General features: G+C 41.6%; 1 protein-coding gene and 1 pseudogene across 14 annotated transcripts in view, besides 1 other annotated feature; one reads left to right on the top strand and one right to left on the bottom strand.

Annotated features, from left to right (window-relative positions):
- Window positions 1-21,461, top strand: part of HLCS (holocarboxylase synthetase) — a 241,587-nt gene that overhangs the window by 131,612 nt on the left and 88,514 nt on the right. The gene's annotated exons all lie outside the window — the stretch shown is intronic.
- Window positions 3,777-4,071: an enhancer, noted in NCBI's record as "tiled region #9348; HepG2 Activating non-DNase unmatched - State 12:CtcfO, and K562 Activating DNase unmatched - State 12:CtcfO". NCBI's record gives its function as "activates a minimal TATA promoter and a strong SV40 promoter by Sharpr-MPRA in HepG2 and K562 cells {active_cell/tissue: HepG2 | K562}" and the evidence as "EXISTENCE:reporter gene assay evidence [ECO:0000049][PMID:27701403]".
- On the bottom strand, window positions 6,572-6,689 carry RNA5SP491 (RNA, 5S ribosomal pseudogene 491; annotated as a pseudogene).

Here is a 21,461-nt window from a genome sequence, read left to right as displayed (position 1 = left end):
ATCACTTAAACCTTACAAAGTCAGGAACTTTGCTCACTGCTGTATCCCTGGAACTTGGATGACACAGAGGCACGGTAAATATTTGTTGAGTGAGTGGATGCATTTCATAAACATATTCAGTGCTGTTTCAATCGTTTCCCCCCAATCTTCTGTTTTCTGTAAGACATTGATCTTTCCAACCTCAGTTTTATCAGTCATGGCATCTCTTGGAAACAAAGCTTGGTGGTGAGGACAGAGTCCCATCCTGAAATTTCAAGTAATGTTTAGCTAGCAACTCATTGTGGAATTATCTGTCTTTTAGAGATGTATCAAAAAGGACTCCAGATAAATGAGTGAATTAAATATTAAAATATGAATGAGGAGGAGAGGATAAAGTGGATATTTAGTCATGCTCTTGATGAGATAAGATTTCTTAAGTTTAAGGGCAGTGAAAGAAATTTTTTATAAAATCTTGATGACTTTAAATATCTAATGAAAATGTTTAAAATATAATAAAAAATAAACAAGATCCTGGCCAGGCGCAGTGGCTCACACCTGTAATCCCAGCACTTTGGGAGGTTGAGGCGGGTGGATCATTAGGTCAGGAGTTCAAGACCAGCCTGGCCAATATGGTGAAACCTTGTCTCTATTAAAAATACAAAAATTAGCCGGGTGTGGTGCCTCACGTCTGTAGTCCCAGCTACTCGGGAGGCTGAGGCAGGAGAATCACTTGAACCTGGGAGGGAGAGGTTGCATTGAGCCGAGATTGCACCACTGCACTTCAGCCTGGGTAACAGAGTGAGACTCCATCTCAAAAAACAACAACAACAAAAAACAAAAAACCAAGATCCTAAATTAAATGATGGCCAGCTAAAAACTGGGCTTTTATGGGGAAAACAGGATCACTCTGCTTTGTTGAGGGGAGCTTGGATGAAGCCACCAGAACTTGGGCCACTGAAATGCCATCCTAGGAGTGGGAGCTCTGAGCAGGAGCCCCAGCGAGGGCCCTGGAGGTTTGGGGTGGGTGAACAAAGGAGGATCGATGTGAGGACATTGGCATGACAGCTCATCTTCTTACCAAGCCTTGCTAAGACTGCTGGTATCATTGGTAACCTAGCTGGACTTCCTCCAGTAGTACACAAATGAAAGACCAAACAGCATGAATTCTTGTGAACCTCTTCGGAATAGGACTAGTGAGGAGAGTCTAGCAAGGAGACGGAGGTTCTCTGTATCTCTCCTACCCCACTCCTGCCTTCTGCCATTCCACCTACAGCTTTGGAATCGGATCGAACAAACAGAAAGGTTAAAGAAAGGGAAGAAGAAAGGATCTTGAGGGTTTGTTCATGTTCTCCTTTGGGAATATCGCTGAAGCAACTGACCTGGAACTGGAATGAATACCTGGTGTGGCTTGGGTTTTGAAACGGCAATGTTGAACAAGAGATAAGCAATCCTGATACGGGTTTTCAAACAGACCTCCATATTAGAGAAGACTTTTAAACATGTTGTTTGACCTATTTTGGTAGAGGCATTTATTGCTTTGCATGGCGCCATGTAAACTGAAATTTGTGCATATCAGAACAGTGTCCTCACTTTACACTGTTTGCAATGGACATGCGTGACTTTCAGTTAATGTGGGACCATGCAAAGTGAGAACTGCCTGCATTAGCAAATTACTAATTTAAGGTAATCAAAGTAAGATGCTGCCTGGAGAAATTACCTTGTATGTATGTCTGTGTGTGTGTGTGGTTTTACGTGCTAGTAAATCTTAGTTCCTTTGCTCTGGTTTTCTGATTTCAGAATACATTAGCTGTTTCATGCACTGGCTCATACCCGCCTCATAACTTGAGGTGAGGGAACTTGATCCCTAGATGTGGTTTTCTCTTAACTAGGTGATTATTGGTGGTGGGTGCTATTTGGACATTCATTTTTTTTTCCTTCCTTCTATTTTTCTTTTTGTTGCTGGGGGGACTGTGTTACCTTACCTGATGATATACTTCCTAGAACAGTTTATGTTTTTATGCTTTCTTAGTGTGTTAATTGGGTCTGGAGGGTTTCAAAGGACTACTATTGGCGGTGGTGTGTGTTATTTATGTCTTTTCGACCCATAGAAGCCGTGGTATTTATTTGCAATCTGAGATAGATTCTATTTTGGAAAGTCTCACCTATGTTCATTGCCATTTGTATGTCCTTTAAAATGAAAGCCTTCCGCAGTCTAAATAGCAGAAGTGTTCTGATACTTCATAGCTGTTTTAACCCTGTAGGGGTCCCACCTAGATGTTCTGGCCTACCTTTTTCCCCTCCAGTTCTCTTCCATGTGAGCAAGTCTGGAGTAGCGCTTTTCAACCAAATTTGACCAATACTTTAAAAAAGCTTTTTGAAATATAAACCACATCCCATACAATTCAACCACTTAAAGCATACAATTAATTCGGTGGTTTTTAAAATTATATTCTCACTTGTATGGTCATCACCACACTCAAATTTAGAACTTTTTAAAATCACCCCAAAAAGAAACCCTGTACCCATTAGCAGTCACTCCCCTTCCCCCTGCCCCCCACCCACCAGCCCTGGGTGTCACCATCTACTTTCTGTTTCTATGGATTTGCCTGTTCTGGACATTTCATAGCTATGGAATCATATAACATGCGGCCTTTCACCTCTGGCTTCTTTGATCTAGCATAATATTTTCAAGATTCACCCATGTTGTAGCATGTCCATATCTCTTTTTATAACAAATATTTTGGGCCAGGTGTGTGAGCTTACACCTGTAATCCCAGCACTTTGGGAAGCCAAGGAGGGCAGATCACTTGAGCTCAAGAGTTTGAGACCAGCCTGGGAAACACAGAAAAACCCCATCTCTACAAAAAAATACAAAAATTAGCCAGGTGTGGTGGCGTGCACCTGTGGTCCCAGCTACTTGGGAGACTGAGATGGGAGTATCGCCTGAGCCTGGGAGGCAGAGGTTGCAGTTAGCCATGATTGTGCCATTTCCAGCCTGGACAATAGAGCGAGATCCTGTCTACAAACAAACAAACATTTTGTACTGCCACCTTTAACCTTTTTTTTTTTTTTTTTTTTTTTTTTAGATGGAGTCTTGCTCTGTTGCCCAGGCTGGAGTGCAGTGGTGTGATCTCGGCTCACTGCAACCTCCATCTCCCTGGTTCAAGCAGTTCCCCTGCCTCAGCTTCCCGAGTAGCTGGGATTACAGGCACACATCATCAGGCCCAGCTAATTTTTTTTTTTTTTATTTTTAGTAGACACAGGGTTTCACCATGTTGACAAGACTGGTCTCGAACTCCTGACCTCAGGCAATCCACCCGCTTTGGCCTCCCAAAGTGCTGGGATTACAGGCGTGAGCCACCATGCGTGGCCAACTTCTTGAAGTTGGATTTATACATTATATAAACGATCTATACAGATAATTCTAAAAACCAATATAGAAATAAAAAGTTAAAGAAAATAATATGCATCGGAATATGTGCTCATATCTGACTGTTAAGAAGATGTGATGAAATAGACACATGCACCTATACAAAAAAAAAACATGAATATGATGGCTGCAAGGTCTTGGGCAGCCTGGACACTATGAATAGTGTAGCCTGAGATGATCTGGTCTCAGAGTGCGAAACAGATTGTGCTTGTATGGACTTTACCCAACTCCCCCTTGATTTACATGGTGGTCCTATCTTTGGAATATTTAGAGTTTAATACCGCTGTACAGAAAGTACTTGCTGTGTACCCGCAAAAATAGAATCAGATTCTCAAGTCAGATCATTGTGAACAAGTATTTCATCTAAATGTGTGTCCAGTGGAATATTAAAAATTTGTTTTAATAGTGGGAGAATCTTGTTGTCCAGGGCTGACCTTGTGTGTTGCAAGACATCGTGAATCCTTGGCCCCTCTGAGCACTACGTTCTGGTCATTATGACAACCAGAAAAATAGAGTTCTGAAATGTCCCCTAGGGGGCAGTCCTGCACCCACAGAGGACCTCGCTATGGGGTCCTTCCTGTGACCTCTGCTTCCTCAGTGCACTCAGTACTTAAGCTTTTCCCCACCTTGAACTGCTCAAATTATTAGTCCTACTCTCATAAACAGGAGGAAAACCAGCGCCTAAGAAGTCACTCCCCCTGCAGAGCTCCAAGGATCTGTACAGTCTGCACTTCCTTTTGATGCTTGTCTTACTGTTCCCTGTTAAAATGAGCTTTTTAAATGAGCATCACTCTAAGCGTCCTTCCCCGTGCCCCAGATGTGCCTGTCTCTGGTGGGAACCCCGGGAGCTTTTGTTCCTGTGGTAGAGTAATAGGGTGCCATTATAGCAGTGATTGTTCAGTGTTCTTAGTTGTGTACCCCTAAAATAATTTTGAAAATCTGTAAATCCCCTTACACGTGTTTAAGCTGACATCTAACAGTTCTCATCAAAAGCTTAATTGTAGGATGTGATTTTTAACATATGACAAATATTGACGTTCAAAGAGTCTCATGTCTTTCTAAAATTTATCCAATGAATTTAAATGCCATACCTATTTGATGCCTGCCATTATCCATTAAAAGTTATATGAGACTCTTTTTTAATAGTCAAAATTTCACATCGTTATTTTATATTTTTGAACTCATATTTCCATTCTTCCCCATAGAACAATATACTAATATAACCCATTTTTATGCTTGAAAAGTCTTTTATTAATCACTCCAGGATGCTTTTCTACAACAAAAACAAATGTTAATTCCATTTGGATGGAATTAATTTTTAAAAACAGCATTGCCACTCAGTTTTTTTGAAATGTTTACAAGTTATATGCCAAAAATTATATTGCACTCTCATCAGTAATTATTTTTATTGACTTAATAACTCAGTTAGGTCCTCCTTCAGTTTTGTTGAAAGCAAAGAACTGGAACCCACCTGATTTGTGAAAGAATCTGTTACTGGTTATTAGAGTTATTCACTTTATTAATATCTGAAGGATAGTTAAGAGACTTTACTGTGACTTACCAAATTGTTATCATTATACCTGTTAGTGCTTTAGTTAAAGACATTTAGTTTAATCTGCTGTACTTAAAACTATTTGAGAAAATTGAAATGGTTAATTTTAATACTACCTCATCAATACAATAACATACTTAAAAAAACTTGTATTTTATCCCATGTTTTAAACATACTGTTATAAAAACCTTGATCTGCACATTTTTTGCTGTCATCAGAATTTTGTATGACCTGTCTGTTGCCCCATGGAGGTTTTTACGCTTCCAGGATACTTCCTTCCATAGTTACACCCAGGGAGGGTGAGTGCTCTCCCTTTCTTTGTCACATGGGAGAAAGGCAGTTGTTTAAGGAGAGGTTTAAAGATAGAGCTTTGTGTGCCTGAACTCCAAGCTCGCTCCGAAATAACGTGTTTTAGGAAAGCACATATGGGAGAGTGAGGCTCTGTGGATTTTTTTGCCCTTAAGACCATTTGTACCTGTGTGCCCTCTTGGGAAGGTGTTTTACTGCAGTTTGAAGGTGGCTCTATTTTAGGACATTTTCAATCCTATTCATCATGAGAATCTCGAGGTGATAGTGTGCACTGAGTCATAGGAAGCCAAAACCCATGGCAAAAAGTTATACTTGCATTGAAAGATAGAGAATTTGTGTTTTTTCTTTTGGTTTCCCTCCTTCTCCTTCTTCTGTGCTGCTGTGTTCCAGAAATTACTGGAGGCAATTTATAAATCTGTCAGGTCCTGAATTAAAATTGGGAGGGGCAAAAGGAGAAGCTGCACCAGAGATGTGCACTGGCAGGGATGAGGAAGTGATGTCCTCAGCGGGGTCCTGTGTCTGAGGGATGGTTTCAGGCAGGTTGCATCTTTGCAGGAGGTACCTATTGTGCACTAGGACTTGGGGTGGGGTCCTCAAGGTCTTAGAATATGGCTTAACGATCAGGCTTTAGAGGCAGATGTACCAAGGATCTGGTCCTCTGATCCTTCTGGTACCCCTCTGAGAGGTGTGCTGGGCTCTGTGCTGGCCATGAAGTGTGAATGTGTTTTGGAGAAAGAACTCTGTTTCCTTACTGCTTTCATTTGGCATAGGAATTGTGAGAGCCCCTTGTCAGTGGGGCAGCAGCTGGCCTGGCACCAAGCAGCAGGACCTGGGGTGTTTGTTGGCTGCTGACCAGAATTGTCTGGGAAATCCAGCTGCCCTGTGCATGGACTTGAGGGCCCCTGGGAAGCTGGGTATGGTCCTCTCTGCCAGGAGAGAAAGCCTCTGGTCTTCCCGTGTTAGATAACCCAGAGGGGCTCCATGGTAATGTTCAGGTAATCCAGCTTATCTCATCAGTTAGGAATTTGTCTTTAGATTTACTAACAGCTGATGTAAAGAAGTCAACAAGTCACAGATTAAACTTAGAGAGACGCTTAGAAAAAAGTAGATGTATTCTGGAAGGTGAGACCAGACAGGAATTTCTTTGGGATCTTCATGAAAGAATTCCATGTGAGAACGAATGGCATCCTCAGAGCATCTCTGCAGCAGGAACAGTCATGGGTGCCACAGGGTGGCACTTTGACTTATAATCTGTCGTCTTAAAAAAATCTCTTTAAATTACTTAGACTTACTTAAATTTAAGCCTAGAGCACCCGGCATTCCTACATGGTCTCCCATGCAAGTACTAGCCAGGCCCAACCCCGCTTAGCGTCCGTGATCGGACAAGCAGGGTGCCTGCGGGCTCTTACGGCCATAGACTACTGTTTTTCTACCTTTTTCCTAATGTTTAAAAATATATGTTTCTGAAATGTGGAGGACTCTTAAGCTTTTTAAAATTTTTATTTTTTATTTTTGTGGGTACACAGTATGTGTATATTTTATGGGGTATATGGGATATTTTGATACAGACATGCAATGTGTAATAATCACCTCAGGGTAAATGGGGTGTCCATCACCTCAAGCATTTATCCTTTGTGTTACAAACAATCCAATTATATTCTTTTAGTTATTTAAAAATGTACAATTAAAATATTTTTTACTGTAGTCACCCTGTTGTGCTAGCAAATATTAGGTTTTTTCCATTCTTTCTAACTACTATTTTGTCCCCATTAACCATCCCCACCTACCTCCCTGCCCCCCACTACCCTTCCCAGCCTCTGATGACCATCCATCAACATGAGTTCAGTGTTTTAATTTTTAGCTCCCACACATAAATAAGGACATACAATGTTTGTCTTTCGATGTCTGGCTTATTTCACTGAGCATAATGACCTCCAGTTCCGTCCATGTTGTTGCAAATGACAATATCGCATTCTTTTTTGTGGCTGGATAGTGCTCCATTGTGTATCTGCAGCACGTTTTCTTTGTCCAGTCATCTGTTGATGGACGCTTAGGTTGCTCCCAGGTCTTGGCTACTGTGAATAGGCTGCAATAAACATGGGAGTGCAGATAGCTCTTCAGTATCCTGGTTTCCATTCTTTTGGGTATATGCCTAGGATTGGGATTGCTGGATTGTATGGTAGCTCTATTGAAATGTAGAAGGCTCTTAACCTAATATCTTTCTCTCTCATAACCTTTTTGTTTTTCCATGGAGGGAGGGGAGGTACAAAAAGCTTTTGCTGAGAGAAACCACAACCAGTTTTGGAGTACACAGTTCCTAACCCACCCTGCCCATCACCTGTGGCCGTAGGCTACAGCCCCTCAACAATGGCATATCCTCGCCTCACCCCTCCAGCAGGGGTAGTGTCCTCGAAGGCCTCTCCCTCTCTCCCTTTGCTTCCCTGGCTGGCTTGTAGACCCCGACTGGCCCAGGATAGGGGAGCTCCTCGCTGTAGATTGAGGGTGGAAGGGACACAGAAAATGTAGCATGAACATTTGAGGGCAAGAATTCAACCAGGACTCACATACCTGTTGACCAGTGTCACCCTGCTATTCCCTTGGACTCAGGACTTGTCCCCCGACCCCAGAATCTTAAGAGGTGGCTACGGTCCAAAACCCTCCCTGGGGACACCTCTCCCTTCGCCATTCCACAAGGAAGGGAACTGGGAGGAACAGGGGTCTCCGGACTCAAGGCGCTAAGGACAGGCATGCGTGTGTGGTCCATGCCCCGTCACCCTGCTGAATTGGGGCTGGCCTCTGGGAGGGGCTTCCCAAGACAACCCTGCAAGCCTGTGGAGCTTGGGGCTTGGGGGTGCAGGATAGAGAGCAGTCTCTCCGATTTTCTCAGACTCCCTGACCAGGTCAGGGGTTACCTAGTACCCAGTGTTCACCTTCCCTACAGCCTGCTGAATTCTAAAGAGGAAACCCCACACAGGGCCAGACAGGTGAGCTGCCCCGGAGTTGCCTCCCCATTCTCCTTTTTGCTCCCTCCATTCTCCGAGTCCCTTCTTTAGTAGAGAACATTTGTAGAGAACATATAGTTATTTAAAGTGTTGGCAATAATGTTAAGGTGCAAATCCAAGTCTGACTCACTTTTAATGTATTTATAGGAAAAAAATGTTAAGCCTTTGACAGGAAAGTGGCCACTGCCACACAGAATGTTTTCTGAAAAGTAATATCCAAAAGTTACTCACTTTCCTATTTTCTTCTCACCTCTGCTCTCTGCCTTCACCTCTGCCACCAGACCCATTTTAGGGAGGGGAGTTGGGCATGAAAAGAAGAAAGTTGAAAGGAACAAAATCAAGTATAAACCATGAGATAAGTACAAGGAGGCCAGGAGAGGAAGCAGAGGAGCTTTCTCATAGATAAGGCGTGCATCCATGCTGAGGCCCTTTTGCATCAAAGTGAGCTCATGCATCTTTTAATATCTGCCGGAAGCTAATAAGAGTTTGTCCAGTCAAGGTTCATGATTGCAAACAACAGAAATTGACCTGGGCCACTTAAGCAGAAAAGAAATGCACTGGAAGGATGAATGTTGGAGAGCTCTCAATGCCGAGGGGAAGGTCAGAGAATCAGGCTAGGAAAGCAAGCCAGAAGCCAAAGACAGGCAGAGCCGGATGCTGGCAGTTCAGTGGGGGCTGGGGTGGATACTGCCCGGTACTTGGCTGTGCCCTGACCACCCCTACCCCTGCCCCCAGCAGAAACTCTAGGCTGCCCTGGACATCTTTGCCACACTGGCTGGCATCCAGGCAAGCAAGTCTCCAGCCTCCGAGCCTTCCTTCCACCCAGATGCCCCCAGGGGCTCCTTTTCTACCCGCAGAAGGAGGTACCAGGGTCCCAGCAAAAAGCTGCCAGAGTCATTCTTTTCTGCTGGATCCTAATGAGATTATGATTACGTTGAATGGCTTTACAAAATAAACCAAATTCTATTTTTACCTTTTGATGCAAGTAAAATCTATATGTATATGCACATATATTTATGTGTAAGCTCTTTGTAGTCAGCCAGTTGGTGCACCATGATGGATGCATTGATTGCAGACAAAAAGGCCTTTTCCAGATATGTTTCTGAGAACCTGTGGCTCTCTAAGTGGGCCAAACTAGGCATGTAACAAACTTCTTTAGTTTAACATTTTCTGGGTCATTGTTAAAATAACATAGCTTAAATGGAATTTATTCACAGTGCTGTTATATCAATATATGCGTTATTATTTTAGGATTAGATTTCCATGTATAACAAGAATGTTGTTATTGTCTTCACAGGGGATTTTATTATTGCCATTCTAGAATGGACCTTTTATTTCTTCGCCATCTCCATTTTCTCCTTCATTAACTAAGAAGCAAATTAGACTTGCATTGAGCCGGTGTCTGCCAAATGTTATTTTTAGAAGCCTTCTCACCTCTTTCCCCATCCTTTGGGATTTCTTTTTTCTTTCCTTAAACTCTGTTTTGCCTTCTCAAATATTGCAATAAAAATCAGTACCATCCCAATATTAGTTCAATATGTAAAGCAGATTTTGTATTTGCTCTTAGGATAGGAAAGGCCTTTCTAAGCTTATAAATCCAAGGGAAAATGATAAAAGAAAAAGGCAGATTGATTGGTCTACAATAATAAAATTCTCTGCATTAAGCAGCACTATGAAACAGGTTACTAATGGAGGAAAAATAGTTGGAATATAATCATAAAAGTTTAATATTTTCAGTATACAAAAAGCTTTACAGTTGAGGCTGGGCGCGGTGGCTCAAGCCTGTAATCCCAGCACTTTGGAGGCTGAGGCAGGCAGATCGTTTGAGGTCAAGAGTTCAAGATCAGCCTGGCCAACATGGTAAAATCCCCTCTCTACTAAAATACAAAAATTAGCTGGGCGTGGTGGGGCGTGCCTGTAATCCCAGCTACTCCGGAGGCTGAGGCAGGAGAATTGCTTGAACTCGGGAGGCAGAGGTTGCAGTGAGCCGAGATTATGCCACTGCACTTCAGCCTGGGTGACAGAGCTAGACTCTGTTTCAAAAAAAAAAAAAAAACAACAATTATGTGGGCAAAGTTATGGAGAAAAGAGTACTCTCATACATTGTGCAGAATTAACACAATTTTTCTGGCATGTCTTGTATATCACATACCTTAAAATGTGCGTGTATTTTGACCCAACAATTCAGTTTGTAGGAATTTAACCCAAGTAGATGAAGTGATGCAAAGTTTTATATATGTGGATGTTCGTCGCTTTGCCATTTATAATACAGAAAAATAGAAGCTGTTCTTGGTGTTTAATAATGGGAGGTTAATTGTATATCCGTTTGATTAACTGTTGCACAGCATTTAAAAATTAGAAAAGCAGATCAGAAAACAATACCTATTGTATGACCCAATTTTGTTTTCGAAAAGTAAATAAACAAAAGGTTTCTGCATGCATTGAAAGAAGATGAGAGAATTTTGCCAGAATACATGAAAGGCAGTTCTCTTTGGGGAATAGAATTAGGGGAGAAATTTCCCCTTATCTCTGCAATTTTCTGAATTAAAAAAAATTCTTATATGTATTGCTGTTGTAAAACAGGAAGAAAACAATAAACCCTGTTGAAAGAAATAGAGTCACGTTTTTGGCATATCAGCAAGAAAATCCTCTTTCTGCTGTTTTTCTCTTTCTAGCTTAGTGATAGCCCAACTCTTTGGAGTTTTGACCCAAATGTTATTTTGGTTTTACAGTTTATCATATGCAACTTTAAATAAAAATTACTTTGGAGAACTTTTTTTAATTGACAGTACCTTAGATATCCATTACTTACCTTATATAAAATCCAGCAAACTGACTCTAACGTAGGATAGTAAATAAGTTGCTGGTATTACTGTCTAAGTGCTTATTCTGACTTTCTGTACTGATGCTGCTGGCACCATGAAATTCCTTTTCAATGATTCATAGAAACGAGTCTGTGCTAGAACTCAGATGATGTTGATTCTAGCGTGCTGCTATGACTGCTGGCTCTTATTTATTGATCAGTGTTTATACCAAATCCTGTGCTAAATACTTGATTTTTAAAAAAGGATTTATGCCCTCCAAGCCTTTATTTCAATGTCAAAAATGCCATCTCTCTCTTCTGAACGCCAGGTCGTCTTGCCCATCTCTCAGGTTTCTGTCTGAAGCTTTATAATAAATGATGGTAATTTGATTACAAAAGAGAAAGATACCATCATTTTATATTGTGGCTGTGGTGGCGTTTCTAACATCTCTATTTACAAAAGGAGAGATTTTAAAATTAGTTTAAGCTGGATGGCTGAAGCAGTGCAGCAAATGAATTAGATTTTTTGTGTTTTTGAAAAGGCTACAAAAATTGTGAGAGCTGTTCCTGGAATGGCCTTTTGAAAATCCCCTTGCATCCTGGAAGAAGGATGAGCGGATGGCTCTAAATCTGGTATTGTTGGACCAATCGAGCCAAGACGGGGTTTGTTGACAGGAATGTTGCTGAAGAACCACATGGAGTTGAGCTGTTTGCCTTCAGATTTAGCAGTTGTTTAGACAAGCAGGACTCTTTATTCTTGCTCAGACCTGAGTGAGCTGAGCCTCAAGGTTGAAAAGTAAAAAGGAGATGTAAGGGAAAAACAGTTCTTTCTCAACCTAGATTTCTGTGCGGTATATTGACTTTCCTTCAGAATTTTCTTTGTTCTGAAAACTATTTCTTCCCATTCTGCTGCCTCAAGGATTCTTCTTTTAGAATTTTTTTGTAGTTTCATTATCCACTCTTTGTTTCGCCAAAAACAAAGCAAATAATAACAACAACAATATCAACAACAGCACAAAAACTGGATATACCTCCCCCCGAAAATAAACAAATAGAAACATTCAGGGGAACTGCCCTGCCTGGTTGGAAACACCAGTCTAGGCCCCTTGGAAATGTCTTGGTGGAGGTCCCAAAGGTCTCAGGAGGACAGAGGACCTCGACATTTATTGAGTGCCTAATGTATAGGAACTTTAGGAAACCAACATTTATTGAGTGCCTACTGTGTATTTTCTTTAGGAAACCAACATTTATTGACTGCCGCTAGGTATCAACTTTAGGAAGCAACATTTATTATGTGCCTACTATGTACCAACTTTACAAAGCCAACATTTACTGAGTGCCCACCACACATCAACTTTAGGAAACTAAATTTATGGAGTGTCTACTATGTATCACTTTTAGGAAACCAACATTTATGGAGTACCTACTGTGTATCACCTTTAGGAACTCAACATTTATTGAGTACCTACTTTGTATCAACTTTTAGAGCTCTAGAAATGGCAATATTCCCATTTTATAGATGAGGAAACAGAGGCTTCGAGGTCACTCAGCTAAGAAGTGCAGAATTTGAATCTAGGTTTGCCCAACCTTGGTTTTTTTCTCTATATAAAGAGAGCAGTTGAGTGGTCTGGGCCACCAAGAAGAGGTGGCATAATATACTCCGGTGGCCATCACAGAGCTCATAGGAAGGAAGATAGGCCAGGCTTATTTCTTACTCTCCCAGAGGAGGCCATTTTGATGCCTGTGATACTTGGACTTTTTTTTACCTACTTAGCACAAGTAACGATTACACGTGCAGCTTTAAGAGAAATGACCTAGTAATGTTGAGCTGGACTGCTCTGCCTCTTTGCCGACCCTCAGTCTCTAAGTCCCGCTCCACCACTGGGGGCCAATTTTTGAGCAGCAAGTGGGCCTTAGACTTTGTAGCACTGGCCTGGAATTAACTGGGAGCGTGTCCCTGCTACTGCCTCTGACATGAATGAGCCTTGCATACCATGAGAATTTCAGTTTTACCTACTTAGAAGAGGGATAGTGCAGTTTGCCGTTGTATTTACGGTTCATGAAACTCATGATTTTCTAATAAAGGCTGGTGAAGGTGCCTAGGGTAGAAGCAGCAAATGCTCCCAGCAGTCCCATCCGTACAGCTGGGAGCACTGTTGTGTGCCGCGGCACGGAAGTTTCTGAAGGTGACACTTGCCCATGTTCATTATGGCTTAGAAAGGAAGCCCAGTATTCGGGATTCCTCACCTCCCTGGTAATATGGAACCCGCTTTGATCGGGGCCGAGTGGCCGGCTGTGAGCATGGGAGGGGAGGGAAGGAAAATGAGTCATCGTGAGGCAAAAGGTGTGCAGTGACTTCTTTGAACAGAAAGTTTTCTTCCATTTAAGAAGAATAACAATCAAAAATGGACAAAAGTTATTAAACCCATTTCCTGGGTTTAAAAAAAAATTGTGGTTGTAGAAAATGAAAGCATAAAAAATCAAGTCCATGTAAGCTTGAAAAGAAACCTGCAGTGGTGGATTTGCACATCGGCCTTAATTGGCCCAATTGACCTTCTCTGCTGTATTTACAATTGCCTTAAAATTGTAAGCAGATGTTTGAAACCCCGTCTTTAATAGGTCTCCAACATCTGTTTCACCACTGCTGCTGCCCACCAAAGCAGTTGTAATTAGGGAGCACCGAATGCATACATCTTTCCTTATGGACCCAATCGATCGGATTTCTCCCCACGGTATTAAAGTCGACCCTTATTCTTGCTTTTATTTGAATACATTTTCCAATATATTTTCTTACACAGGACAGTATCCAGCCAAGTACAAAAAAAAAAAAAAGATAGTCGTTCTCCATACTGAATTGTTAAGATCATGTCTGTATAAATCACTGACCGTGAGTGACAAAGATGTTCACACATACAAGCACAAAACCCTGAAAATAGTGAAAGCTTTTGTTCTTTCCTGTGGCCTGTGTATTCTAAACTAGGTGTTTCCTGCAGAAATGATCAAAGGTAAAATGTGGGCATCTTAGAAGGCGGGAGGAAGCATTATTTATTTATTTATTTATATTTTAATCAATAGACTTCACTTCTTAGAGCAGTTTAAGGTTAACAGAAAAATTGAACAGAGTATAGAGTTCCCATATACTCCCTCCCTGTCCTTCTGTCTCGCCCGCCGAATCCCCCTCCGTTTCCCCCTATTATTAACATCTTTCATTAGTGTGGTACATTTATTACAATTGACGAGCTTCTATTCATAAATTGTTGTTGAAGTCCATCAGTTCCACGATGGCTCATTCCTCGTGCTGCGGAGTTCTATGGGTGTTGCCAAATGTATAGTGATACGTATCCACCTTTACACTATTTTATAGTTTCTGTGCCCTAAACATTCCCTGTGCTGCACCGGAGAGAGGGAGCATTATTGACTGAAATATTCTCATATGAGCATGTGTTTACTTTGAGAAGAAACTATTTCTCATGCATAGTGATCCAAATAAGTAGTCATTTTGACATTTTATCTTTCAGAGACAGTGTCTTGCTCTGTCACACAGGCTAGAGTGCAGTGGTATGATCATGGCTCACTGCAGCCTCAATCTCCTGGGCTCTAGTGATCCTCCTGCCTCAGCCTTCCCAACAGCTGGTACTACAAGTGCATGCCACCAAACCCAGGTAATTTTTTAGAATATTTCATAGTGACGGGGTCTCTCTTTGTTGCCCAGGCTGGTCTTGAACTCCTGGGCTTGAAGCAGGCCTCCTACCTCTCGACCTCCTTAAGTGTTGGGATTACAGGCATGAGCCACTGCACTCAGCCTAGTTTGACATTTTAGAAGTGAATGTACAGAATTTCAGAAACTTTTGTTTTCCAGCATGCTTTATATTTTAAAATAACTTTGCGCACACTAGTAACTTTGAATTCACTAAGATTAGTAGGATATGATGTATGCCTAATTAGAAAATTCTGTACATTACTAGTGTTCATTTAAATTTTGTACAAATTATTCTTTTGTAGTTTCTTAAAAGATGTATCTTTAATATCTCAACAGATACTTCTTTTTCTTTCTTTGTTTCTTTTTTCGGGGGTGGGGTGGGCGGGGAGGACAGGGTCTCTCTCTGTCGCCCAGGCTAGAGTGCTGTGGCACGATCATGGCTCACTGGAGTCTCGACTTCCTGGGCTCATGTGATCGCCCTACCTCAGCCTCCCAAGTAGCTGGGACTACAGGGACATGCCACCACACCTGGCTAATTTTTTATTTTTTGTGGAGACAGGGTCTTGCCATGTTTCCCAGGCTGGTCTTGAACTCCTGGACTCAAGCTATCCTCCTACATTGGCCTTCCAAAGTGTTAGGATTGCAGATGTGAGCCACCATTCTTTCTAGTATCTTAACAGATATTTCTTTTAAATAACTTGCCTGAGGCAAGATGTGTTTAATTAAAAGAAGTTGGGTCCCATTTCAGCTTAGTATCCTGTGGCGTGTCTTTTACCTGAAGATTCCTTCCATACAGATGGCCACCAAAGTCTAGAAGATAAGACATGGCAGGAAGAACTGCTCAGTTTCAGACATGTGCAAAGCAACAGAGAGATGCCAGGCTTAGAAATGTAAAGAGATCATTGGTGAGAGAGGATGTTGCTCCCTGGCCCGGGGCCCCTCATCCTGCTGGTTAGGCTGACGTAGGTCTGCAGAATTTTTCAGGGCCTCAGAGTAGGGTGGTGTGGGCTACCCTGGATTCGTGGCCTTGAATTGTTTTATCAATAATAAAGATAGTTTTTTTGGTTGTTGTTTGTTTTTTTGAGACTGAGTCTTGCTCTGTTGCCCAGGGTGGAGTGCAGTGGCACAATCTTGGCTTACTGCAACCTCCACCTCCCGGGTTCAAGCAATTCTCGTGCCTCAGCCTCCCAAGTAGCTGGCATTACAGGCGTGCGTCACCACACCCAGCCAACTTCTTTTGTATTTTTAGTAGAAATGAGGTTTTGCATTGTTGGCCAGGCTGGTCTCGAACTCCTGGCCTCATGTGATCTGCCCACCTTGGCCTCCCGAAGTGCTGGGATTATAGGGATGAGCCACTGTGCCTGGCCAGAGAGTTTCTTAGAAGTTTTATTGAAGTATAATATGCCTCCAGAAAAGTGCACACATCCTGAGGGTGCAGCATTTGAATTTTTACGGCCTAAACTCTCTCACATGTAGCCAGATCAAGAAATGGGTTCCAGCAGTCAGAGGCACCTTCAGGTCCCTTCCCATCTGCATCCTCCCTTTGGGGAACACTGTCCTGATTTCTGACGCTATCTTAGTTTTGCCTGGTTTTATATTTTATACCGATGGAAACATACACCATGGCCTCTTGCATTCTGACTTGTCATCTGTGTTGTTGCTATAGTTTGTTCATTCTCATTGCCATAAAATACTTCTTTGGGTGAGTATCCCACAATTTGTTTATCTTCTACTATTAACGGGCATTTGGGTTGTTTCTGGTTTGGGGCTATTATGAATCATGCTGTTATGAACCATCTGATTCTTTTGGTGAACATATGTAAGCATTTTTGTTGAGTGTATACCCAGGAGTAGAATTGCTGGGTTGTGAGGTATGCATATGTCAGCCTTAGTGGGTCCTACCTAGCAGTTTTCCAATGAGCTGTGGATGACAGCTGAGGGTCATTAGACTTTCAGGAGTGACATTCGAATTCTCTGACTTGATGTCCCCGTGTTATCAATGACAAGCATTTCTGGGATGCCAGGCCTACCCTGTGGCTGCAGAACAGAGCCCAGCCAGTTGAGGAACATAGCTCACGTCTTAGTTGCCTGTGAAGCCAGGCGTTTGCCTACTGCTTTCACAAGATTAGTTCACAAGAATCGTACGTTGCATTATCCCCATTTTACAGATGAGAAGCCTGCCTGAAGATGATAGTGTTTTGCCCAAGATGATACTGTTTCCCAGCCTAGGATTTTGACTCCCGTGCTCTTAGCCACCACGTTGTGCAGCCCTAGCCCTTGCCATCTTCACACACAGATTGAATCCTCTTGCTTTCCACAAAAGTTGCGTTATGTGGCTTCTAGATCACGTGGCAGAGGCCATCGTCCTATCCTTTACACAGACCTCACATGACCATAGCATTTTACTCTTAGAGCAGTAATAATAAATAATGTACTCGTGGTTTGGGCTATTTATTATCGCATTTCATGAACTCTGGATCTTGACACACATTGTAAATTGTCTCTACTATTCGGACAGTGGTTTAGTTTTGTTTGTTTTGTTTGAAGACAGACAAATTCCCCGAAAAGCCAAAAGAATATCCTTGGTTAACATATTTGACCCATTAAAACTTAAATATAAGCCAATTCGGTTGAAATATTTTTAGCAAATTAAGAAATACCTTTAATTTATGGCTGTAAGATGGAAAAGAACTAAATGCTTCCAAAAGGTTTTTTCACGCCTAAGTCCCTGTCGTTTTAAAATTTAAGGTCATTTTAATTTTTTAATTGAGGTATAATTTATATACTATAAAATACCCACCCCAAACAGTTTCATCTTTATATTGTTGTCCCACCCCTCTTTGAAAAAACAAAAATCCTCATGGATTTTTCTTCCACTGAAGATTACAAATTTAATCTAAAAGCAATATTGTGGCCTGGTGCTGTGGCTCACACCTGTAATCCCAGCACTTTGGGAGGCCAAGGCAGGCAGATCACCTGAGGTCAAGAGTTCAAGACCAGCCTGGCCAACATGGTGAAACCCCATCTCTACTAAAAATATAAAAATTAGCCAGGCGTGGTGGTGGGCGCCTGTAATCCCAGCTATTCGGGAGGCTGAGGCGGCAGAATCTCTTGAACCTGGGAGGCGGAGGTTGAAGTGAGCCAAGATCACGCCATTGCACTCCAGCCTGGGCAACAAGAGCAAAAAACTCCATCTCAAAAAAATTAATTAATTGAAATAAAATAAAAGCAAAATTGTAATTTAGTCTCATCATATAGGAAGATTACTTTATAATCTTTATAATGACGATATGTCACTACTTAGTTTTAAAATATGGGAGACATTTATTATTTTTGTGGCTCATGATTTCACTATAAGAGGTCCAAAAATATTTCAAAGGAAACCATTACTATAAAATTTCTTCAGATGAATCCTTTTTTAGATACCTGAATATTTTTCCATAGAGGATATTTTTGGAGTCCCCATCAATAGTTATGAAGGCAGTACTTCAACACTAAAGGTAGACTGAATTATTATTTTAAAAAAATTTTTTTAAATATTCACCTACCTTTTCTAATGATAGGTTATTTTTGTATTTAGGAATAGTAATTTTTTTAAAGCCAAGTATAAATGTTAGGCAATATGGCTATTTCATGTAGTTCTATGATTATGTAAAAATTAGCAATAAAGCTTCTACTAGGATAAGTAAAGTTACAAGATGTTACAAGCTTCTCAAAGAAATCCACACATGCTTTTCCTGTTTGTGAGCTATTTAAGGTACATCCTTAACCTTTATTATGAGTGATGGAGCCATAGTGAAGATTAGTTTGTTTATGTTTTGAAGTTTTTCTTGCTCCTTGGAAAGCACTTCCAAAATTGTGCTAACAAATTACAAGTAGGCCATTTATAAGCTACATAACACTTTTGTTATTACGTCATCTTGGCCTCCAGCGAAATAAATGTTAACGTTAGAATTTGTCATTTAAGTTCACAGGCAGCATCATGTGGCTCTCTGGAGTTTTACTTGTGTTAATGTAGTTGGGTTGGAAAATGATCTTAGGGATCCATATTTGGGTTTGAAGGTTCTTCTGTCTGAAGACATTTTGGAATTTTCAGAAACATGTGTGTAGGATATTGCCAGTGAGCTGGACCATCTTCTTAAGAACTTTTTGACTGTTGGGATGTCTTCTGTGATGTGCCTGTTAATTTCTTTTGCCTGTATTTTGTGTGTTGGCTTTGAAGTTCTTCCTTCTGGCATATATCTGGTCCCCTCTCAGGTCATCTGCTGCTATCTGCTCTCCCTCAGTCCTTTCTTCCCTGGGCTACCACCTCTCCCGTCTCCCTTCTTTCAAGAATTACACTCCATCAGTGAGCAAAGCGTACTTATGTTTATATCTAGAAAGAAAAGCAAGTTCTTGCAAAAATAGTGAGTGGTTACAGTGTGTGTGAGACATTTCAGAGTCAGGCCTCTTCCCAGGCTACCTCCTAGCATGTGACTCCAAAGAAGATGGTCAGCAGTTTCAGATTCATTTCTGAAAGTGAGCCATTCACGTTGGACTGGATCCAGTATCCACTAAACCAACACGGAGAAGTGTGTCATTTTTTCATGAAGTGGACATGCTAATGCTGTCCATTGACCTCTCGTATTTTTCAGCCGTGTGTATTTGCACAGCAATTTCATATGTGAAGCAGTGCCTGTGTTTAATCCCATTTAATCTAATTGTAGAGAACAAATGCTTAGATTGCTCTAAAGACGGGAGGTTGGTCCCTGTTAACTGTTTAAGTGATGCTCCTTTGCTGCTCCAAAAATTAGAGTAATATATCTGTGTATCTGGAATGTACGTTTCTTGGTGCTGCTGTAACAAATTCCTGCAAACTGGCAGCTTAAAACAGCTGAAAATAATTCTCTGTCGGTTCTGGAGGCCACAAGTCTGAAATCAAGGTGTCAGCAGGGCCACACTCCCTCTGGAGGCTCCAGGGGAGGCCCCGTTCCTTGCCCCTTCCAGCTTCTTGTGGCTTTAGGCATTCCTTGGCTTGTGGCTATTTCACTGCAATCTCTACCCCCGTCTTCATGTGAACTCCTCTGTGTGTGTGTGTGTCTTCTCCTTTTCTGTCTCTCTCTTTTTTTTTTTTTTTCTTTTGAGACGGAGTCTCGCTCTGTCGCCCAGGCTGGAGTGCAGTGGCGTGATCTTGGCTCACTGCAAGCTCTGCCTCCCGGGTTCACGTCATTCTCCTGCCTCAGCCTCCCGAGTAGCTGCGACTGCAGGCACCCATCACCTCTCCCGGCTAATTTTTGTATTTTTAGTAGAGACAGAGTTTCACCGTGTTGGCCAGGATGGTCTCGATCTCCTGACCTTGTGATCTGCCCGCCTCGGCCTCCCAAAGTGCTGAGATTACAGGCATGAACCACTGCACCTGGCTAAGATTGTAATTTAATTCTATTCTATCTGCAAAGACCCTTTTTCCAAGTAAGTAAACATTTACAGAATGTGGGTACTAGGAGTTGGTTGTGGGGGTGTGTGTGTGTGTGTGTGTGTGTGTGTGTGATCATTCACCCCACTGCAGAAAGAAAGAAAACTCCCATTGTGACCAGCTACCTGGTGGCAGGAAGGGCAGAAGGGCAAGAGGGCAAGGGAATGTAAGTGTCTAGTTTCCTGGGAGGGTGGAGGCTGCGTCCCAGCGTTGGGCTCCAGGTGAGCTCAGAATGTCTTCCTCTGCTGCTTTGAAATCCAGTTGCTGCCTTGGTTACACTAGTCAACCAAAAATGGGATGAAATGACCTAAAAAAAATAGTTTCTAAATATTATCCGGCTTAAAAATTGGCCTGGATTTCCCTTTTACTTAAGAAAGAGGAAAGAAAAACTTGGGAAACTTATCAAGTGTATAAATGGTCATTACCTAAGGATTATTCAGATATTGGCTTCAGGAAACATATTTATTTTGTTTTCAATGTGTATTTTGTTGCCATTTCTTCCCCTCTCCGCTGTAAGAACTTGGTTAGCTGCAGAATGCATCAGAGTATCAACAGGGGCTGGGCTGGACCGAGCCCACCCAGGCAGGAGTGGCTTTCATTACTTGGCTTGATACAATGTTCATGATTGCAGCCGACTTGCAAATTTCCCTAAAATTCACTCATTTCTTCATGTTTGACCACTGTGCATCTTACTAATCCTTATTCTTCTATGGGCCAACCTTACTAAGAAAATAATTTTTTTAAGTATAATTATATTCCTGCTGCTAATTTTGTGAGTTTGATATTAAAGAGTTATAGATAATAGTACCCACTAGATAAGTTAACATTAATTCCCTCTTGATTAATAGTATTTTCACAAGGATTTATAATTCAGACACTTTCATTCTGTTTGGACTTTTTCCTACTTGACGTGGACATGGCCAAGATGAAGTTTTTTGTGTGCTGTATTTTTAAATGTCTAAAGTAGAAAGATGATGTGTAGTTGGGGATTTCGAGTTGCCTATTAGCAGAAGTTTCTATTTAAAAGGATCCCCACTTATTAAAACTTTACAGTATAGCATATAGTTTGTATAATGCTTCAGGTTTTCACAAAACTTTTATAAATAGCTTTCTGAACAATAAGCAGGTCAGGTCCCAATACCAAGAATGTCAAATGCCATGCAGTTTTTTATTTGTTTGTTTTGTTTTTTGAGACGGACTCTTGCTCTGTTGCCCAGGCTGGAGTGCAGTGGCA

The sequence above is a fragment of the Homo sapiens genome, chromosome 21, assembly GCF_000001405.40.
Source record: "Homo sapiens chromosome 21, GRCh38.p14 Primary Assembly".
Classification (NCBI taxonomy): domain Eukaryota; kingdom Metazoa; phylum Chordata; class Mammalia; order Primates; family Hominidae; genus Homo; species Homo sapiens.
Note: the sequence above shows the minus strand (reverse complement) of the source record. Positions and strands in the feature narration are given on the sequence as shown.